This window comes from Homo sapiens, chromosome 5 (assembly GCF_000001405.40).
Source record: "Homo sapiens chromosome 5, GRCh38.p14 Primary Assembly".
Taxonomy (NCBI): domain Eukaryota; kingdom Metazoa; phylum Chordata; class Mammalia; order Primates; family Hominidae; genus Homo; species Homo sapiens.
The window spans coordinates 109,544,871-109,564,834 of record NC_000005.10 but is presented as its reverse complement, the minus strand read 5'-3'; the positions used below and the strand labels follow the sequence as shown (position 1 = coordinate 109,564,834).

The window sequence follows — 19,964 nt, the reverse complement described above, 5'->3', positions numbered from 1 at the left end:
ACAGGAACAGAAAACCAAACACTGCATGTTCTCGCTCATAAGTGGGAGCTGAAGAATGAGAACACATGGACACAGGGAAGGGGACATCACACACCGGGGCCTGTTGGAAGGTGACATCACACACCAGGGCCTGTTGGAAGGTGGGGGGCAAGAAGAGGGAGAACATTAGGACAAATACCTAATGCATGTGGGCCTTTAAACCTAGATGATGGGTTGATGGGTGCAGCAAACTACCATGGCACATGTATACTTATGTAACAAACCTGCACATTCTGCAGATGTATCCCAGAACTTAAAGTATAATAATAATAATAACAAATGAGCCAATAATCTCAACAGACATTTTGCAAAAGAAAACATGGAGTGGCCAACAAATATATGAAAAAAAAATGCTCAGTATTACTAATCGTCAGGGAAATACAAATCAAAATCCAAATGAACTATTATCTCACCCCATTTAAGATGGCTACTATCAGAAAGACAGAAAATAACAAATGCTGGCAAGTATGTGGAGGAAGGAGAAAGCCTGTACACTGTTGGTGGAAATATAAGCTAGTATTGCCACTATGGAGAACAGCATGGGGGTTCCTCAAAAAACTACAGACAGAACTACCATATGATCCAGGAATCCCACTGATAGCCATTTACCCAAGGGAAAGGAAATCAATATACCAAAGAGACATCTGCACCCTCGTATTTATTGTAGCACTATTTACAATAGCCAAGGTATGGAAATTTAAATGTTATATATACATATATGTAGATAGATAGATAAATAGATAGATAGATATGCACAATGGAGTACTATTCAGCCATAAAAATAATGAAATCCTGTCATTTGTTGCAACATGGATGGAATTGCAAGACAGTATGTTATATGAGATAAGCCAGGAACAGAAAGCTAAACACCATGTTCTCATTCATATGCGGAAGCTAAAACAAAAAAAAGAAGTTGATCTCAGAGAAGTAAAAAGCAGAACAGAGTATACTAGAGGCTAGGGTGGTGAGAAGGGGAGGATAGGGAGGAATCTTTTAAAGGATACAAAATTACAGCTAGAAAGGAAAAAAGTTCTAGTGTTCTATAGCACTGTAGGATAACTATAGTTAACAATAATATATTAGTTTCAAATAGCTAGAAGGAGGATACTGAATGCTCCCAACACAAAGAAATGATATATGTTTGAGATTATCGATATGGTAATATTGATCACTATACACTATATATATTGCAACATCTCTACGTACTATACCCCATAAATATGTATAATTTTTATGTCCAATTTAAATTTTTAATTTAAAAAAGGAAAATGTGGTATAGATACACAATGAACTGCTATTCAACCTTAAAAAGAAGGAAAGTCTATCATTAGCAACATGGATGAGCCTGGAGGACATTATGCTAAGTGAAATAAGCCACAAAGAGAAAGACAAATATCACGTGATTTCACTTCTATGTGAAATCTCAAAAAGTTGAACCTACCAAAGCAGAGAGTAGAATGGTTTTTACCTGGGGCTGGAGTGTCAGGGTGACTGGGGAAATGTTGGTCAAAGGATACAAAATTTCAGTTAGACAGGGGCAATGAGTTCAAGAGATCTATTGTACAACAGGTTGACTGCAGTTAATAAAGATGTGTTGTATACTTGAACATTGCTAAGAGTAGATTTTAAATATTCTCACCAGAAAAAAATGGTAAGTACATGAGGTAATGCTTACATTGTTAAGCCTAACTTAGTTATTCCACTGTGTATGCATATTTCAAAACATCATGTTGTATACCATAAATATCTACTATTTAAATAATAATTTAAAAATGAAAAAAGTTGGAAATTAATCCCAATGTTTTATTTAAAAGAATGTTTGCCTTAATAACAAAGAATAATAAATTTAGTGTTCTTCTGTTTTCCTTTTATTAGAGAATTAGAATTTACAAATAGAATAAAAATGACATGTCCTCCATGCTCATTAGTTGCCTTTGTACCACTTTCATTTTCATGTTACTGATATTTCTGTTATAAATGGTGTCCTATAAAAATGGGATTTTACTTTTTTTATCAAAAGAAGGCAATTTCATTTTCTACCTCGGAGAGAATCCAATGCAAAAGAGAGCCAGCATAATTATACACATACTATTATAACTTCAATATCATAATATTTTGATTTTGCTTTACATCACACACTTTCCCAGCTGGTGGGCAGCTTCTGTTTTAGCTTCGTGGATTATATTAGTAACGGGGAAAGAGACATCATACACATTGTGAATCTAATGAGACCAACATTCTGGTGTCATTTGAGGATACAATAATGTATCTGTTTGATAAGTCTTTGACTTGCTTTGTTGTTATAACTCCTGTAATCCAGGCACAGTGACACTTATTTATAGCATACTGGGGCTCAGGCAGCAGCAGCAGAATATAAATGCAAGGTGGCTAACCAGTAAAGGAGAAAGACTTAGGAAGTCCTGATGACAGAGGCTGATACCTGGAGATGAGTCAAACCAGATAATACAAACAAGGGGCCACACAGAACAAGTCGGGGGTGCAGATGACAAGAAACCAGGACAGCAGCACCAGAGAACACCTGGAGAGAGCCAAATAAGGTTTAAGAGTAGAGGTAATTTCCTATTTCACCTTTAGAAAAAGGCTGATCTCATGGGAGCTAATTCTTCAATCCACTGCTTCTAAACCGTAATGTGAATCTCACCCCAGTTAGAATGGCTATTTTCAAAACTACAAAAAATAACAAATGCTGGCAAGGATGTGGAGAAAAGAGAGCTCCTATACACTGCTGGTGGGAATGTAAACTAGGACAGCCATTATGGAAAACAGTGTGGAGGTTTCTCAAAAAACTAAAAATAGAACTACCATATGATCCAGCAATTCTACTACTGGGTATTTAACCAGAGGAAAGGAAGTCGGTTTATTGAAGGGATATCTGCACCTCCGTGTTTATTGCAGCACTATTCACAATAACTAAGATATGGAAGCAACCTAAATGTCCATCAACAGAGAATGGATAAAGAAAATGTATATATACACACAATGAAATATTACACTATTTGGCCCTAAAAAAAGATTGAAATCCTATTACTCATGGCAACATGGATGAGCATGGAGGACATTATGTTAACTGAAATGTCAGGCACAGAAAGATAAATACCCCATGTTCTTACTCTTGTGGGACTGAAAAAAAAAATGCTTGAGCTCATGGAAGTAGAGGGTAGAATTGTGGGTACTAGAGGCTGGGAAGTGTAGGGGTGGGGGAGGCTTGGAAGAAGTTGGTTAACAGACACAAAAGTACAGCTAGATAGGAGGAAAAAGTTCTGGTGTTCTGTGAATATGGTTAACTATAATTTACTGTATAGTTTCAAAAAGCTATGAGAGGATTTTGAATGTTCACAACACAAAGAAATGATAAATGTTTGAAGTATTGGATATACTTATTCCCCTGATTTGATTATTATTACACATTCAAAATATCACTCTGCATCCCATAAATAGGTACAATTATTACAGATCAACTAAAAATAAAGGGAACAAAAAAATGTGCCTGTGAATCCTTTAGAGATCTTTAAAATGCAGATAATGATTCCAGAGGTCTGAGATGGGGCCTATGATTCTCATTTCTAACAAGCTTCTAGATGATACTGATGCTGCTGCCGATACAGGAACCATAGATTGTGCAGCAAAGTCTTAGACCAGCCCAGAGATAGGCAAAGCAGGCAATAAAAAGAACTGAGTAGAGTAAGGGGAATGGAGTTAGCAGGACAGCAGTGTTGGGGGAGTACAGTTCCTAAAAAAAGGCAGGATTTGCAAATTTAATGTATCTCAGATGACAAAGCAAACTTTGTTGATGGCTGTTTGTTATGGGTTGAATTGTGTCCTCCCAAAAAGATATGTTGAAGTCCTAATCCCAGTACCTCAGAATGTGACCTTATTTGGAAACCAGGTCTTAAAGACGTAATCGAGTTAAAATGAGGTCGTTAGGGTAGGTTCTAATCTGATATGCCTGATGTCTTCATCAAAAGGGGAAATTTGGATACGGAAACAGACATGCACAGAGGGAGATGATGTGAAGACCCACAGGGAGAAAATGGCCATGTGATTGCAGTGATGCAACTACCAGACAATGCATGTCAAGGATTGCCGGGGAATGGCAGAAGCTAGAAGAGGCCAAGAAGGTTCCTCCCTGAGAGCCGCCAGAGAGTGCAGCCCTGCTCTCACCTTGATTTCCAACTCTTAGCCCCCAGAACCGTGAGAAAAAGGAGTTTTTGTTTATCTAAGCCACCTAGTTTTGGGTACTTTGTTATGGTCAGCCTAGGAAATTAATGCACAGAATAATAAGAATATTCAGTGGTCACTCTTTGAACAAATATCAAACAAAGAAGAAACTTCAAGTATAGAAATATTTGATTAATTTACCAAACTATGTTCTACATAATAGAAAGAAGGCCTGGAAACCAGGTCTCCTAGTTGTCAGTCAAAACCTTTCCACTTTAATACCCTGCTTCCCAAGAACAGGCACAAATGGACTAATCAGTAAACCAACACTTCCCAAACTGGTGTTCTCCGGAAGCTTTTTCAGGGTTTCATTAACAGGCGCTACAAAGGGCTCATGGTTAACTAAATTATAAAACACCCCAAATTCACAATACATAATAATGTAATTAAAGATCTAGGTTAAAAACTACCAGAAAACCAAGTCATAGGAAAAATTTACAAAATCTGTTAAATGTGTTGAACTAGCAGTTCCCTAATTTTCACAGCACAGAATACTTTTTCTACCATACTACTCTTAGCAGCCTACAGAATACCACTTTGGGAAATGCTGGAGGAAGGATAAAGGTTCACAGCAACAGAGAAAATTCATGCCAACAAAACAGCTACTTTCAAATTTAATTATATTTTACTATAAGTTATCCAGAAGACTACCTGGGTTATTTGTTGTTGCTTCCTCAAGGCAGGAAAAACGATGCCCTCCGGGACGAACTTGAAGAATGAATTTAAAGGCCTATCATAAAAATGAAGTAAGAGATCAGTCAGAGTGACATGGGCAAAATGGAATTGAGCAAAACTGATGAGGTTTGAGGAGAAGAAATGAGAAAAGGGAAATTAAATATTTACGTCCTGTGTATGTGGCTACAGTCTTTTTTCAGAAAAATCCCACTGAGCATAAAGAAAGATTTTTGATATTTACTGTACTTTGTATCACTGGTGAAGAAAAACCACTGCAAAGTATGTAATGGATGATACATTTTTGGTGTTATACCTGGTACACATCCCAGGGTGCGCCACTGTGGACATTTGGGCAAATACAATGGCACCACTCATGGGGCACCATGGACATTGTAGATGTTATAGACTTGCAGAATTATCAGGACAATTTTGGCAGCACAATTCTAACAAAATCAATAGTAACATTACAATAATTTGCAAACAAAAGTAAAGTCTCTTGAGGAAGAGGTGCCTTTTTCTGAGCCACCAATGGCATTGCGTGAGTTAGCAGCAGCCTTGAGACCCCTCCTCACTATCTATACAGTTCAGAACCCCATTTTAACTAGGAAAATTGTCTGATACCACCATTTAACACTTGGATGACAAAAGAATGCAATAAAGAAAAATATTGTTGCATCATCCAGCAAACTTTCACTTTGTGTGGAGATCTGGATCATGTGCCCCTCCCCTCACTCTGAGGAGTCAAGAATCTAACCAGACATGAAGAAAAAAAATACTGTTATGGAACATTCATGAATTCTTCAAAAATGTTTATTCTAGGTCTATTAATAAGCGATGCTGTGTTAGGAAATAGAAGCAGTTGCTACAGAGCTTGAGTCCTAAATGCCATTTTCACATACTGAAATGTTAAAGGTAAGAATTTTAAACACTTTAACCATATTACTTATTCACAACAGAAATGTGAAATTAATCAGTACATGTCAGACATTATTTTACCTGTTGGAGACAGAAAGGGAACAAAATGGCATAACCTCGCCTCCATGGAGCTTACAATCTAGTGATGAAGACAGACTTTAAGCAAATTGTCACACAAACAATAGAACTACAATTACAAAAGTCTTAAGGAGGAAAATTGCACAGTGCTCTAAAAGCTTATGAGAGAAGGTCCCATGAAGACCAAGGAGTCAGGAAAGCCCTTCCTGAAGAAGGCGTCTTTAAGCTGAGATGTGAAGAATGAGCAGAAGCTAAATGGTAAGGTGTGGGGAATGAGAGTTCCAGGGTCTGAAGACAGCAGGGGTTGATGCCGAGGCAGGAAAGGGCCGAGGGTGTTCAAGAACAGAATAAACCTCAGTAACCACAACATCACAAGTGAAAGAAAAGGGGTTAGAGGAGGCAAATTAATGAGATTATTCAGATCCTTCTAGGTTAGGTTAAATATTTTAAATTCTTCCATGAGGGCAAAAGGAAACCTTTGAAGCTTTTTAAGCAGAAAAGAAATACCAGATTTTTAAAAGCCTGTTCTGGCTGCTGTGTGGAGAAAGATTGAAAGACCCAAGAATAGAGCAGGGAGACCAGCTAGAAAGCTATTCTGATGTCCAGGTGGGAGATGGTAGTTCAGTCTTGCATGGTGTCAGTAGACATGGAGAGAAGTGGACAGGTTAGAGACATATACTGCAGGGAGAATCTATGGGAAATATAATTAGATATAAAAGGAGTTATTTGTGCTAATAAAGGAGCATGAGCAAAAACAGGGGATCCTTTTTTTAAATGTGTATATTTACTCAGTGCTATTAATATAATGATATTTCATGTTTCTATGGTACATGGCAGTTTACTAAGCATTTTTGCAAAGATGAAAAATATTAATTGGGTGCCTATGATGAACCAGATGCTGTTGCAGGCACTGAAATTACAGGGGCACATAACACAGACAATGTCCATACCCTCATAAAGCTTGCCTTCTGATGATAGAGACAACAGTAGAGAAAGAAGCCAACAAAGGCATGCAAGAAGGATTATAAGGCAAGGTAAAGACAGTAAGGAATTGGGGGAGATTGAACAGGTCTCTCCTGACTCCTGTGCATGACAGGGAAGGCCTCTCTGAGGAGGTAACATTTGGACTAAGATCTGACTGAAGTAAGGGAATGAGAAAGCAAAGATGTGAGGAGAGAATAGTAGGAGATGAGGTTGGAGAGTGAGATGGAACCAAATTCTGGAGAACTCTGTTGTCAGGGAATTTATTCCCTAGCATCTTCCCTATGAAGTCATAGACTGGCTAGGTCCCTCCACCCAACATCATCGATCTCCCAGGGTGTTCTAGTTCCAACACAACTAACACTCTTTTCTTCCAGGACTGGAGATGTAGGCAGCCTTGCCCATGCCAGCCCTGGGGTCCTATGCTATCCCTTGCAGTTTCCTTCTACCCTACCTGCTCTTTGTAATGAGTTCTTTGTAAATACACCCTCCTCAAATTATGCTACTTGGATGTACTATCTGTTTTCTCTTGGAACTCCAGCTGAAACTATGTTCAATAAATGTTTAGATAGGAAGTGGTACAGAACGGTGGTCCGGAATTACATTTGGATTTTAATTATTTTATGGATAATCCACAAAGTACATTTATAGATGTTGACTCAAAGTTAAACATAATAGCTACCCATCTTTCCTTGAGTGCTTTAATTTTTTCTATTTACTTAAATTTAAAACGAACATATTTAAGATAACTCTACGCTCCCAGTAAAAACTTCAAATTTGCTTCAGTTCTGGATTTGGAACACTGAATACCAAGTTATTTTCATTTCTACTTTAAAATTTTAGGCTTTTGCTCAATTTGTATTCCATATAAAAGCAATTTCTCTGATAGAAAGGCAGTTCACTGATGAAAAACTATTCAATGTAATTGGTAATCAAAGAAATGCATTTATCAAAATTGAAAAATCGGCCAAAATTACCATACAATTATAATATTTACTACTATTTGGTGACAATTCAGGAAAACAGGGAGCCTCATACATGCTGGTGCTAGAATACTTTGACAAACATTTCTAGAAGATAATTTGGCAATCAAAAGCCTTCAGTTGAACTGAACTAGCAATTTTACTTCTAAGAATTTAATCTTAGTAAATAATCAGAGATGTATACACAAATGGATACTCACCACAGGATTACTTATCCTCTCCTCCCAAAAAAAGGGGGAACAACATAAATGTCCAATAATATTGGAAACAAGTTAAATAAGTTATAGAACATGCACAGAATTCCATGCATCTATTAACAATATTACTCAACCCTGCCTGAGAAGTCTAAATCCTGGCTGTACACCACTGTATTTATTTATTTATTTATTTGTTTCTTTTTGAGAGGGAGTTTTGCTCTTGTTGACCAGGCTGGAGTGCAATGGCGCGATCTCGGCTCACTGCAACCTCCACCTTCTGGGTTCAAGCGATTCTCCCGCCTCAGCCTTTCGAGTAGCTGGGATTACAGGCAAGTGCTACCACGCCCAGCTAATTTTGGGTTTTTTTTTTCAGTAGAGATGGGGTTTCCTCATGTTGGTCAGGATGGTCTCAAACTCCTGATCTCAGGTGATCCGCCCGCCTCAGCTTCCCAAAGTCCTGGGATTACAGGCATGAGCCACCGCACCCGGCACTACTGTATTTTTTTTTAAATACAAATGCCTGGATCCACCTAAAGAGAGTCTAATCACTAGACCTGGAGTAAAATCTAGATCTCTGTATTTTTAAAAATCCACACAAGTGATTCTATGAAGAACTGAAAACCATTAAATACAGTACAACACATAACAACATGGGGAAATGTTCCAGAATAATGGCAAAGGTGGAAAGCTTGTTATAATAAAATATTTCTAAATACAGGCTCAGAAAATAAACTGTGAGTAATAGACTCACACTGGTAAGTTTTAATCTCTGGGTAGTAGAATCATGAGTAATTTTTATGTTTTTTTATTTATCCCTGTAATTTTCAAATTTTCTACAATTAGATGTATTCTTTTTAATTAAAAATAGAAAGCACCCATTCTTAGTTCATATTGTCTTTTATGCTTCCCCAAGACCTTTTTTCACTGGCCTTATTTCTATCTCTAAATACAAGTCTAGTTATCTATTTCTAACCAGTTAAAGAACATGTCTACTAATTTTAGGGACATTTAAAGCCTAATTCCAAATCTGACAATGCATCTTTTTGTGTGTGTCCTTTTCCCTTCTTTTGTGACAAGCACTTTTATCAACATGGGATATTGTTTTTCTGCTGGCCCCTCTTCAGTAGCAGCACAAATGTGATTGAACAAGAAATACTTCAGCTTTCTTCCATTTTTTTAGAACATAGTGTTCACAAGGAGTCACTTCCTTAAATGCACTTTTAAGAGATAAAATAAAGAACAAAGGAAATGCTCATTATAAATGTTAAAAAGTATTTTTCTATAATGTCACATTAACGTACAACCTGCCTTTCCTATGAGAGAAATAAAAACTCCTAGAGCATAAGACTATTTGCATGAATTAATTCTGTCTAAATGATGCTACTTACCACTTTGGATAACAGAACGTTTTTCATTTTTATGGAGAAACAATTTTACTGCTCTGCTATTCCTTTAACTGGGAGGTGCTCCTACCTAAGACTTCCCACTAGTCTTATTCAAACAATTTTTATTGAAGTAATACACACACACATATATATATATATACACGTAAAACTCATAAATGTACAGCTCAATTAATTCCTGTGCTATGAGCACATCTTTGTAATTGCCACACAAATCAAGAAACAGAACCTTTCCAGCACAGCACAAACAACCTGTGTTCCCTTTTACCAGCCCTTTTACACTCCAAAGGTAATACCCGTTCAGACTCCCAGTGCCACAGATTAGTCTTAACTGCTTTTTAACTTTATATAAATGGAATTATACAGTATTTACTCTTTTGTATCTGTCCTTTTCCCTTAATATTACATTTTTGAGGTGAGTATATGTTGCCATGCATAGCAGTCATTTGTTCTTTTTCATTGCTGCTTAGTATTTCATTATATAAGTCTACTACAATGTATCTATCTGTTTTACTGTTGATCGACATTTGGGTTATCTCCAGGTTTGGGATATTATGAAATAATGGTACTATCAATTTTTATACATAGTTTAGCATTCATATTTATGCATTTCTGTCAGGCATATACCTAGAAGTTGATTTCTGAATCATCAGACATGTAATTTTTCAAATTTAGTATATGTTGCAAAACTGTTTTCTGAAGTAGTTGTACCAGAAAAAGATGAAAGTTTCAGTTGTACCATGTCCTTGCCAACTCACCATAGTCAGTCTCTTAGAAATTAATGAATTTGCTGGTATGCAGTGATATATCATTATTGTTTAAATTTGCATTTCCCTAATGATTAATCACATTGAATACTTTATCATAACTTTATTATTCATTCAGATACCCTCTTTCATAAATTTCCAGTTCTAGGTTTTGTCCATTTTTTCCTATTGATTTCTGTCTTTTCATTTTGATTTGTAGGATGTTTTTATATATCCTCTTACAAATCCTTTTTTTGATTTTATGTATTACAAATATATTCTCCCAATGATACGGTTTGGCTGTGTCCCCCACCTAAATCTCATCTTGAATTGTAGCTCCCATAATTCCCACGTGTCATGGGAGGGATGCAGTGGGAGGTAATTGAGTCATGGGGGCAGGCCTTTCCCATGCTGTTCTCATTATAGTGAATAAGCCTCATGAGATCTGATGGTTTTACAAAGGGGAGTTCCCTGCACATGCTGTCTCTTGCCTGCTGCCATGTAAGACATGTCTTGCTTCCCCTTCACTTTTCACCATGATTGTGAAGCCTCCCTAGCCATGTGGAACTGTGAGTCAAATAAACCCCTTTCCTTTATAAATTACTCATCTCAGGTATGTCTTTATTAGCATCATGAGAACAGACTAATGCACTCACTATGTGAGTTCTTCTCTTCCTGGTCTTCCTTGATGAACTGTTCATAATTTTAATGTGGTCCAATTTACCAACAGTTCCTTTTTGGATGATACTTTTTGGTCCTGTTTAAAAAGTCTCTGCAACCTCCTCCCCAAGTCATAAAGATCTTCTATATTATCATCCAGAGACTTTATTTTACCTTTCTCATTTAGCCCAACAACACATAATTGAGTTTATTATTTGTAAGTTGTGAGGTAGGGATAAAGGCTTATTTTTTTCAGAGTTATCCATTGATTCACCACCACCATTTGTTAAAAAGAATATTTCCCCTACTGTTCTGCACTGAAAATATTGTAAAAAATCGAGTGCCCATACATGTGGAATTGTTTCTAAACTTAATTTTTTCCATTTACCTATTTGTCCATCCTTGCACCAATATCATGCTGTCCTAATTATCATCCTGATATCAGCTCATGTAAGTCCTCCAACTTTGGTATTTTTCAAGATTTTCTTAGCCATCCTGATTGAGCCTTCTATATTCCCACCTAGATTTTAGAATATGCTTGTTAATTTTCACCAAAAAATTTATTAAAAATAGATTTTGGTTCAGATTGCATTGAATCTGTAGGTAAGATGGAGAATATTTACATCTTTATGATATCGTGTCTTCCAATGGTTTGAAGGTGACGTATCTCCTTATTTATTTGAATCACATTTTCTCTAGTGTGTGTGTGTGCGTGTGTGTGTGTGTGAAGGTATTATATATTTTTTATTAGATTTATTTTTAGGAATTTGGATTTTATGCTACTCAAAATGGTATTATTATTTAAATTTTTACTTTCTAATTGTTTGCTACTTATATATAGAAACTGCTTTTCTATATATAGCAGTTGTTGCTGCTCTAATATCAAGAAACTGCTATATTTACTTATTACTTCTTTTTGATAGATATGTTAATCTGCTTCACTTATTAATTCTGATAGAGTATAGATTCTGATGGATTTTCATTGTATAACACCATGTTGTCAATGAATAATGACAATCTCTTTTCCAATCTTGACATCTTTTACTTTTTTTTTTTTTTAACTTTTTGCACAGTCCAGAATCTCCATGACAATGTTGAATAGAAGTATCAGTAGCAGATGTCCTTGTCTCATTCACAGTCTCAGGGGAATACTTTTGCTTTTTTATTATTTAGTATGATACTAGCTATAGGCTTTTGGTAGACAGAACTTTGTATTAGTTTTTTTTCACGCTGCTGATAAAGATATACCCCAGACTGGGAAGAAAAATAGGTTTAATTGACTCACAGTTCCATGTGGCTGGGGGAGGCCTCACAATCATGGTGGAAGGTGAAAGGCAGTTCTTACATGGCAGCAGCAAGAGAGAAGGAGAGAGAACAAAAGCAGAAACCCCTTATAAAACCATCAGATCTCATAAGGCTTATTCACTACCATGAGAACAGTATGGGGGAAACCACCCCCCTTATTCAATTATCTACCCCTGGGTCCCTCCCACAATATGCGGGAATTTGGGGAGTACAATTCAAGATGAGATTTGGCAAAGACACAGAGCCAAACCGTATCATTCCACCCCTAGGCCCTGCCAAATCTCATGTCCTCACATTTCGAAACCAATCATGCCTTCCAACAGTCCCCAAAGTCTTAACTCATTTCAGCATTAATTCAAAAGTCCACAGTCCAGAGTCTCATCTGAGACAAGGCAAGTCCCTTCCACCTATGAGCCTGTAAAATCAAAAGCAAGTTAGTTGCTTTCTAGATACAATGGGTGTATAGGTATTGGGTAAATACAGCTGTTCCAAATGGGAGAAATTGGCCAAAACAAAGGGGCTACAGGCCCCAGGCAAGTCTAAAATCCAGCAGGGCAGTCAAATCTTAAAGTTCCAAAATGATCTTTGACTCCATGTCTCACATCCAGATCATGTTAATGCAAGAGGTGGGTTCTCCTGGTCTTGGGCAGCTCTGCCCCTGTGACTTTGCAGGGTGCAGACTCCCTCCTGGCTGTTTTCACGGGGTGGCATTGAGTGGCTGCGGCTTTTCTAGACACATGGTGCAAGCTGTCAGTGGATCTACCATTCTAGGTTCTGGAGGATGGTGGCCCTCTTCTCACAGATCCACTAGACAATGCCCTAGTAGGGACTCTGTGTGGGGGCTCTGACCCCACATTTCCCTTCTGCACTACCCTAGCAGAAGTTCTCTATGGGGGCCTCACCCCTGCAGCAAATTTCTGCCTTGGCATCCAGGCATTTCCATACATCCTCTGAAATTTAGGCAGAGGTTCCCAACCCCAATTCTTGGCTTCTGCGCTTTCGCAGGCTCAATACCACATGGAAGCTGCCATGGCTTGGGGCTTGCACCCTCTGAAGCCACAGCCTGAGCTCTACATTGGCCCCTTTCATCCATGGTTGGAGTGGCTGGGATGCAAGGCACCATGTCCCTAGGCTGCACACAGCAGGAGGACCCTAGGCCTGGCCCACAAAACCATTTTTTCCTCCTAGGCCTCCAGCCTGTGATAGGAGGGGCCGCTGTGAAGACCTCTGATATGCCCTGGAGACATTTTTCCCATTGTCTTGAGGATTAATATTTGTCTCCTTGTTACTTATGCAAATTTCTGCAACCAGCTTGAATTTCTCCTCAGAAAGTGGGATTTTCTTTTCTATAGTATTGTCAGGCTGCAAATTTTCCGATCTTTTTATGTCCTGCTTTCCCTATAAAACTGAATGCCTTTAACAGCACCCAAGTCACATCTTGAATGTTTTGCTACTTAGAAATTTATTCTGCCAGATAACCTAAATCATCTCTCTCAAGTTCAAAGTTCCACAAATCTCTGGGGCAGGGGTAAAATGCGGTTAGTCTATTTGCTAAAACACAACGAGTCACCTTTGCTCCAGTTCCCAACAAGTTCCTCATTTCCACCTGAAACCTCAGCCTGGACTTTATTGCCCATATGGCTATCAGCATTTTGGGCAAAGCCATTCAACAAGTCTCTAGGAAGTTCCAAATCTTCTCACATATTCCTATTTTCTTCTGAGCCCTCTAAACTGTTCCAACCTCTGCCTGTTACCCAGTTCCAAAGTTGCTCTCACATTTTCAGGTATCTTTTCAGCTGTGCCCACTCTACTGATACCAATTTACTGCATTAGTCCATTTTCATGCTGCTGATAAGACATACCCGAGACTGGGAGGAAAAATAGTTTCAATGAACTCACAGTTCCATATTGCTGGGAAGGCCTTACAATCATGGCAGAAGGCAAAAGGCACTTCTTACCTGGTGGCAGCAAGAGAGAATGAGAGAGAAGCGAAAGTGGAAACCCTTTACAAAACCATCAGATCTCATGAGACTTATTCACTACCACAAAGACAGTATGGGTGAAACCACCCCCATGATTCAATTATCTCCCACCAAGTCCCTCCCACAAAATGTGGGAATTATGGGAGTACAATTCAAGATGAGATTTCAGGGGGGACACAGAGCCAAACCACATCAGACTTATCAAATTAAGGAAGTTCCCTTCTATTTTTATTTTGCAAAGTGTATTTATCATGAAAGGGTATTAAATTTCATTGAGTGGTTTTAGCTCACTTATTGAGATATCATATTTCTCCTTTTTTATATTAATGTGGTGAGTTATATACTAACTGATTCCTGTACAGCTAACCAAACTTGTATTGTTAGTCATGTTGTTTGGCTTCTTTTATATATCATTAGACGTGGGTTGCTAGCATTTTATTTAGAATTTTTTTCATCTATATTCATGAATAAAATTGTAATTTTTCTTTCTTGTAGTATTCTTACAGGATTTTGCTGTCAAGATTATGCTGGCCTTAAAAAATAAGCTGACTATCATTGTCTGCTCTCTGGAAGTATTTGGGTAAGATTGATTTTTTTTTTTGTCCTTAAATGTTTAGAATAATTTATTAGTTTGGGGCCAACTGGGCCTGGTATTTTTTTGAGGATTAATTTTAAATAGAAATTTGGTTATTTACATTGTGATGGGTAAGTATATTTGTCAACTCAACTTGGTCAGAGAGTGCTCAGATACTGGTCAAATATTTTTCTGGGTGTTTCTGGGAGGATATTTTTAATTATGATTGACATTTAAATCAGTAGACTAAGGAAAGCAAATTATCCTCCCTAATGCGGGTGGGCTTCATCCAGTCAGTGGAAGGCATGAATAGAACAAAAAGGCTTACCCTCCCTGTGTAAAATAAAATTCTCCTGCCTGCCTTCCTTCAAACTAGCACATCAGCTTTTTCCTGCCTTCGGACTTGCACTGAAACACTGGCTACTCCTGGGTCTCAAGCCTGCCTGCTTTCAGACTGGAACCATATTATCAAGTATAACATTGGCTCTCCTGGGCCTCCTGCTTGCTAACTCACCGTGCAAATCTTGGGATGTGCCGGCCTCCATAATATATAGATAGATATGTCCTATTAGTCCTATTTCTCTGAGGAACCCTGACTTATACAATTGGATATAGGAATATTCAGATATTCTATTTCTTTCAGCATCATTGTTGACAGGTTGCGTTTTTCTATCAATTTGCCCATCTTATTTGATTTTTCAACTTATTGGCAAAAACTTAATAATACTATCTTATGTGTTTGTAACAACAACTGTAGTGATGTTCCCATTTTACAAGTATTATTAGAAATCCTCTCTCTCTGGCTGGGTGTGGTCAGATAATTATCTATTACAGGCTCAGGCCTATAATCCCAACACATTGGGAGGCTGAGATAGGTGGATTACTTGAGCCCAGGAGTTCGAGACCAGCCTGAGCAACATGCCAAAACCCTGTCTCTGTGAAAAATACAAAAAATTAGCCAAAGGTGGTGCCTGGTGCCTGTAGTTCAAACTACCTAGGTGGCTGAGATGGGAGAGTCACCTGAGCCTGGGAGGCTGAGGCTGCAGTGAGCTGTGATTGTGCCACTGCACTCAAGCCTGGGCAACAGAGTAAGACTCCGTCTCAAAAAAAAAAAAATCTTCTTTCTCTAGCTCTATATGCTCAGTCTTTCCAGAGGTTTAGCCTTCTTATTAACTATTTAAAATAACCAAATTTCATGTTCGTTTATTCCAATTATTGAGCATATATTACTATTTTATTATTTTTAGTAAATTTATATGTTATTTACTTCCTTCTAACTTTTTGGGTTCTATGTGGTATTTTTTCTTTAACTTTTGAGATAAAAACTTAGCCATTGATATTTCAGCCTTTGTTTTTTGAATATGCACTAAAAGCTAGAAACATAGCTTTAAGTTTTATTTAAGCATAGCCATAGGCTATATTTCCCTTTAAACATAGTTTTAGCTACATTCACAAGTTTTTACATGTTTTATTCTTATTATACTTTAGTTCAAAATATTTTCTAGTTTTTTTATTATTACATCACCTTTGACCAGTGAATTATATATAAATACACTTGTTTAAATTTCTGGGCATTGGTGATTTTCTATTTTTCAGACAGACTTTTTTAGCTTAATTTCACTGTGATCAGGGAATTCGCTGTTATTTCAATCCTTTGAAATTTGTAGAGACATGTTTTATGGCCCAGTGTAGTTCAATTTGTAAATAATTCAAAAACACTTGAAACTAATGTATATTCTGCAGTTTTGGAATCAAGTTTCCTAGATATAAGTTCAATTTTGTAAGTCATATTGTTCAAATTGTCTGTATTCTTGTTAATCTTGTATGCTTCTTCAATCTGTTACTGACAGAAGTGTGATAAAATTTCCCCCTTGTCTATTTCTCCTTACTTCTGTTAATATTTTCTTTATAAATGTTAAAGATATGATCATGAGTCCCTATAAATTAAGTTGTTGTATGTGAAATATTAAAAATCTTCAACTATAGTTGTCATTTTTTTTCTTTAAGTTTTATTTGGAATACATTTTTCATATATTATGGGTCTCTGTTGTTAGCCGTGTATATGTTTATACTTGTTATATCTTCCTAAAGTTTTGATCTTTTATCATTACGAGATGCCTCATCTGTCTCTAGTAATAGTTCTATTTTCTCTCATGTTAATATAGTTACTTCAGGTTTCTCATACTAAGAAAGTATAAGAAAATGGGTGAAATCCATTTTTCACTCATTTTCATCCATTTTTCAGCTCTCTTACAGTAAGAACGTATAAGTATGGCTCTCTTGGGTCTACTATTTGATAATGCTACTGCATTGTCTTCTGAGTTTTATTATTTCTATTGCAAAGCAAGATGGGGTTGTCTGCTTTTTTCTGCTTTTTGTTGTGGGGTCTTTTTTGCCTTTTTGATAGTATTTTTTTCCCTAGTATTTTTTTCTCTAGCTCCTTTTAAAATTTCCTCTTTGTCTTTGGTTTTTAACAGTTTTACAATGATGTGCCTAGGTGTGCTTTTCTTTGCATTTGTCCTTTTTTTTTTTTTTTTGGTACCATCTGCTGAATCTGTCACTTGAAAATTTATGACCATTCTCTTTTCAGTTATTCCTTTTGCTTCATTCTGTCTCAGCCAAACTTTTTTTCCAGAGTGATTGTAGCATTTGACATTTCCAGTAAAAGTAAAAATGTTGTTACAGTCTTTTAGTCATTCGGGCTAAGTGTATAACAATCTCATTGTGGTTTCAATTTGCATATCCCTAATAGCTAAGTATGTGGAATATCTTTTTATGTGCTGATTTTCCATTTGTAGATTCTCTTCAGTCTTTTTATGTCATTTGCCCATGTCCTAATTAGATTTTTTATCTGTTAGTTTTTGGGAGTTCTTTATATATTCTAGATACTATTCTTTCTTGGATTTATGGTGTGCAAATATGTTCTCCCAATCTGCAGCTTGTTTTCACATCCTTTGAATAGTATCTTTCACAGAAGAAACACTTTTAATTTTGATAAAATCCAATTTATCAATTATCCCTTTTATGAATTATGCTTTTGGTTTCAAACCTAAGAATTACCTAGCTCTAGATCCTGAAGATTTTCTTCTGTGTTATTTCTTAAAGTTTTACAGTTGTACTATTTACAGGTAATCAATTTTCCATTTTGAGTTTATTTTTGTATAAAGCGTGAGAATTAAGGCAAGGATGTTTCCCCCACTATGGAGGCCCAATGGCTTCAGCACCATTTGTTGAAAAGGCTATCCTTTCTCCATGGAATTGGTATGGCACTCTTGTCAACTCTCAGTTGGGCATAAAGACAAGCATTGCTTAATGATAGGGATGCATTCTGAGAAATGCATCATTAGGCAATCTTGTTGTTGTGCAAACTTACATAAACCTAGATGGTATAGTCAAGTAAATCCTGGGCTATGTGGTATAGTTTATTGCCCCCAGGCTACAAACTTGTACAGCATGTTACTGTACTGAATACTCTTGGCAATTGTAACACAATGATAATTATTTATGTATCTAAATATATTTAACCATGGAAAAGGTACAATAAGAATGTGGTATAAAAGACACAAAATGGTACACCTGTATAGAGCACTTACCATTAATGGAGCTTGTAGGACCTGAAGGTGCTCTGGGTGAGTTAGTAAGTGAGTGGTGAATGAATATGAAAGTTTAGGACATTATTGTACACTACAGTAGACTTTATAAACACTGTACACTGAGGCTACACTAAATTTGTCTTAAAATACTTTTATTCAATAATAAATTAACCTTAGCTTATTGTAACTTTCTTACTTCATAAACTTTTAATTTTTTTTAACTTTTTTACTCTTATTTAATAACTCTTAGCATAAAACACACATTGCCCAGCTGTATAATAATATTGTCTTTATATCCTTATTCCATAATCTTTTTATTTATTTTAAATTATTACTTTTTTTCTTCCTTTTTATACTTTTTTGTTAAAAAACTAAGACACAAATACAAACATCAGCCTAGACCTACAAAGGGTCAGGATCATCAAGAAGTCAATAGGTGATAGAAATTTCCGGCTCTTTTATAATCTTATGGACCATCGTCACATATGCAGTCCGTTGTTGATAGAAATGTTGTTTCCAACGAATGACTGTATTTGTACGGGTCTCTGTTTTTTATCTATTCTGTTTCATCGATCTATATGTCTATCCCTCTGATAAAAATATTGATTACTTTAGCTACATAAGTCTTAAAATGTGGTGTACTGATTTCACCCATTTTCTTCATTACCTTCAAAATTATTTTAACTAGCTTCTTTGCCTATCAATATAATTTTAAAATAATTTTGTCATGGGATCTAATTAAACTAAAGAGCTTCTGCATAGCAAAGGAAACAATCAACAGAATAAACAGACAACCTACAGAATGGGAGACAATTTTTGCAAGCTGTGTATTTCACAAAGGTCTAATATCCAGCATCTATAAGGAACTTAAACAAATTTACAAGAAAAAAAAACATTAGAAAGTGGGCAAAAAACATAAACAGACACTTCTCAAAAGAAAACATACATGCAGCCAATAATCATATGAAAACAAAGCTCAATATCCCTGATCATTAGAGAAATAAAAATTAAAACCACAATAAGATACAATCTCACACCAGTCAGAATGGCTATTATTAAAAGGTCAAAGATAACAGATGCTGGCGAGGTTGTGGAAAAAAGGAATGCTTATACACTATTGGTGGGAGTGTTAATTAGTTCAACAATTGAGTAAGACAGTGTGGTGATCCCTCAAAGACCTAAAAACAGAAATACCATTTGACCCAGCAATCCCATTACTGGGTATATACCCAAAGGAATATACATCATTCTGTTATAAAGACACATGCACACATATGTTCATTGCAGCACTATTCACAATAGCAAGAACATGGAATTAACCTAAATGTCCATCAATGATAGACTGGATAAAGAAAACGAGGTACATATACACAAAGGAATACTATGCAGCCATAAAAAAGAATGAGCTGGAAGCCATTATCCTTAGCAAACTAATGCAGAAACAGAAAACCAAATACCACATGTTCTTACTTGTAAGTGGGAGCTAAATGATGAGAACACATGGACACATAGAAGGGAACAACACACACTGAGACCTATAGGAGGGTAGTGGGTGGGAGGAGGGAGGGCATCAAGAAAAATAACTAATGGTTAC

At 36.6% G+C, this 19,964-nt stretch overlaps 1 long non-coding RNA gene across 2 annotated transcripts in view; it reads right to left on the bottom strand.

The window, feature by feature from the left end:
- LOC105379117 (uncharacterized) overlaps positions 1 to 19,964 on the bottom strand; it is a 122,892-nt gene that overhangs the window by 9,501 nt on the left and 93,427 nt on the right. For both annotated transcript variants that reach the window (XR_001742838.2, XR_948660.3), the window contains one exon: positions 4,930 to 5,008. This is a non-coding gene — a long non-coding RNA (uncharacterized LOC105379117). The remainder of the gene's footprint in view (positions 1 to 4,929; positions 5,009 to 19,964) is intronic.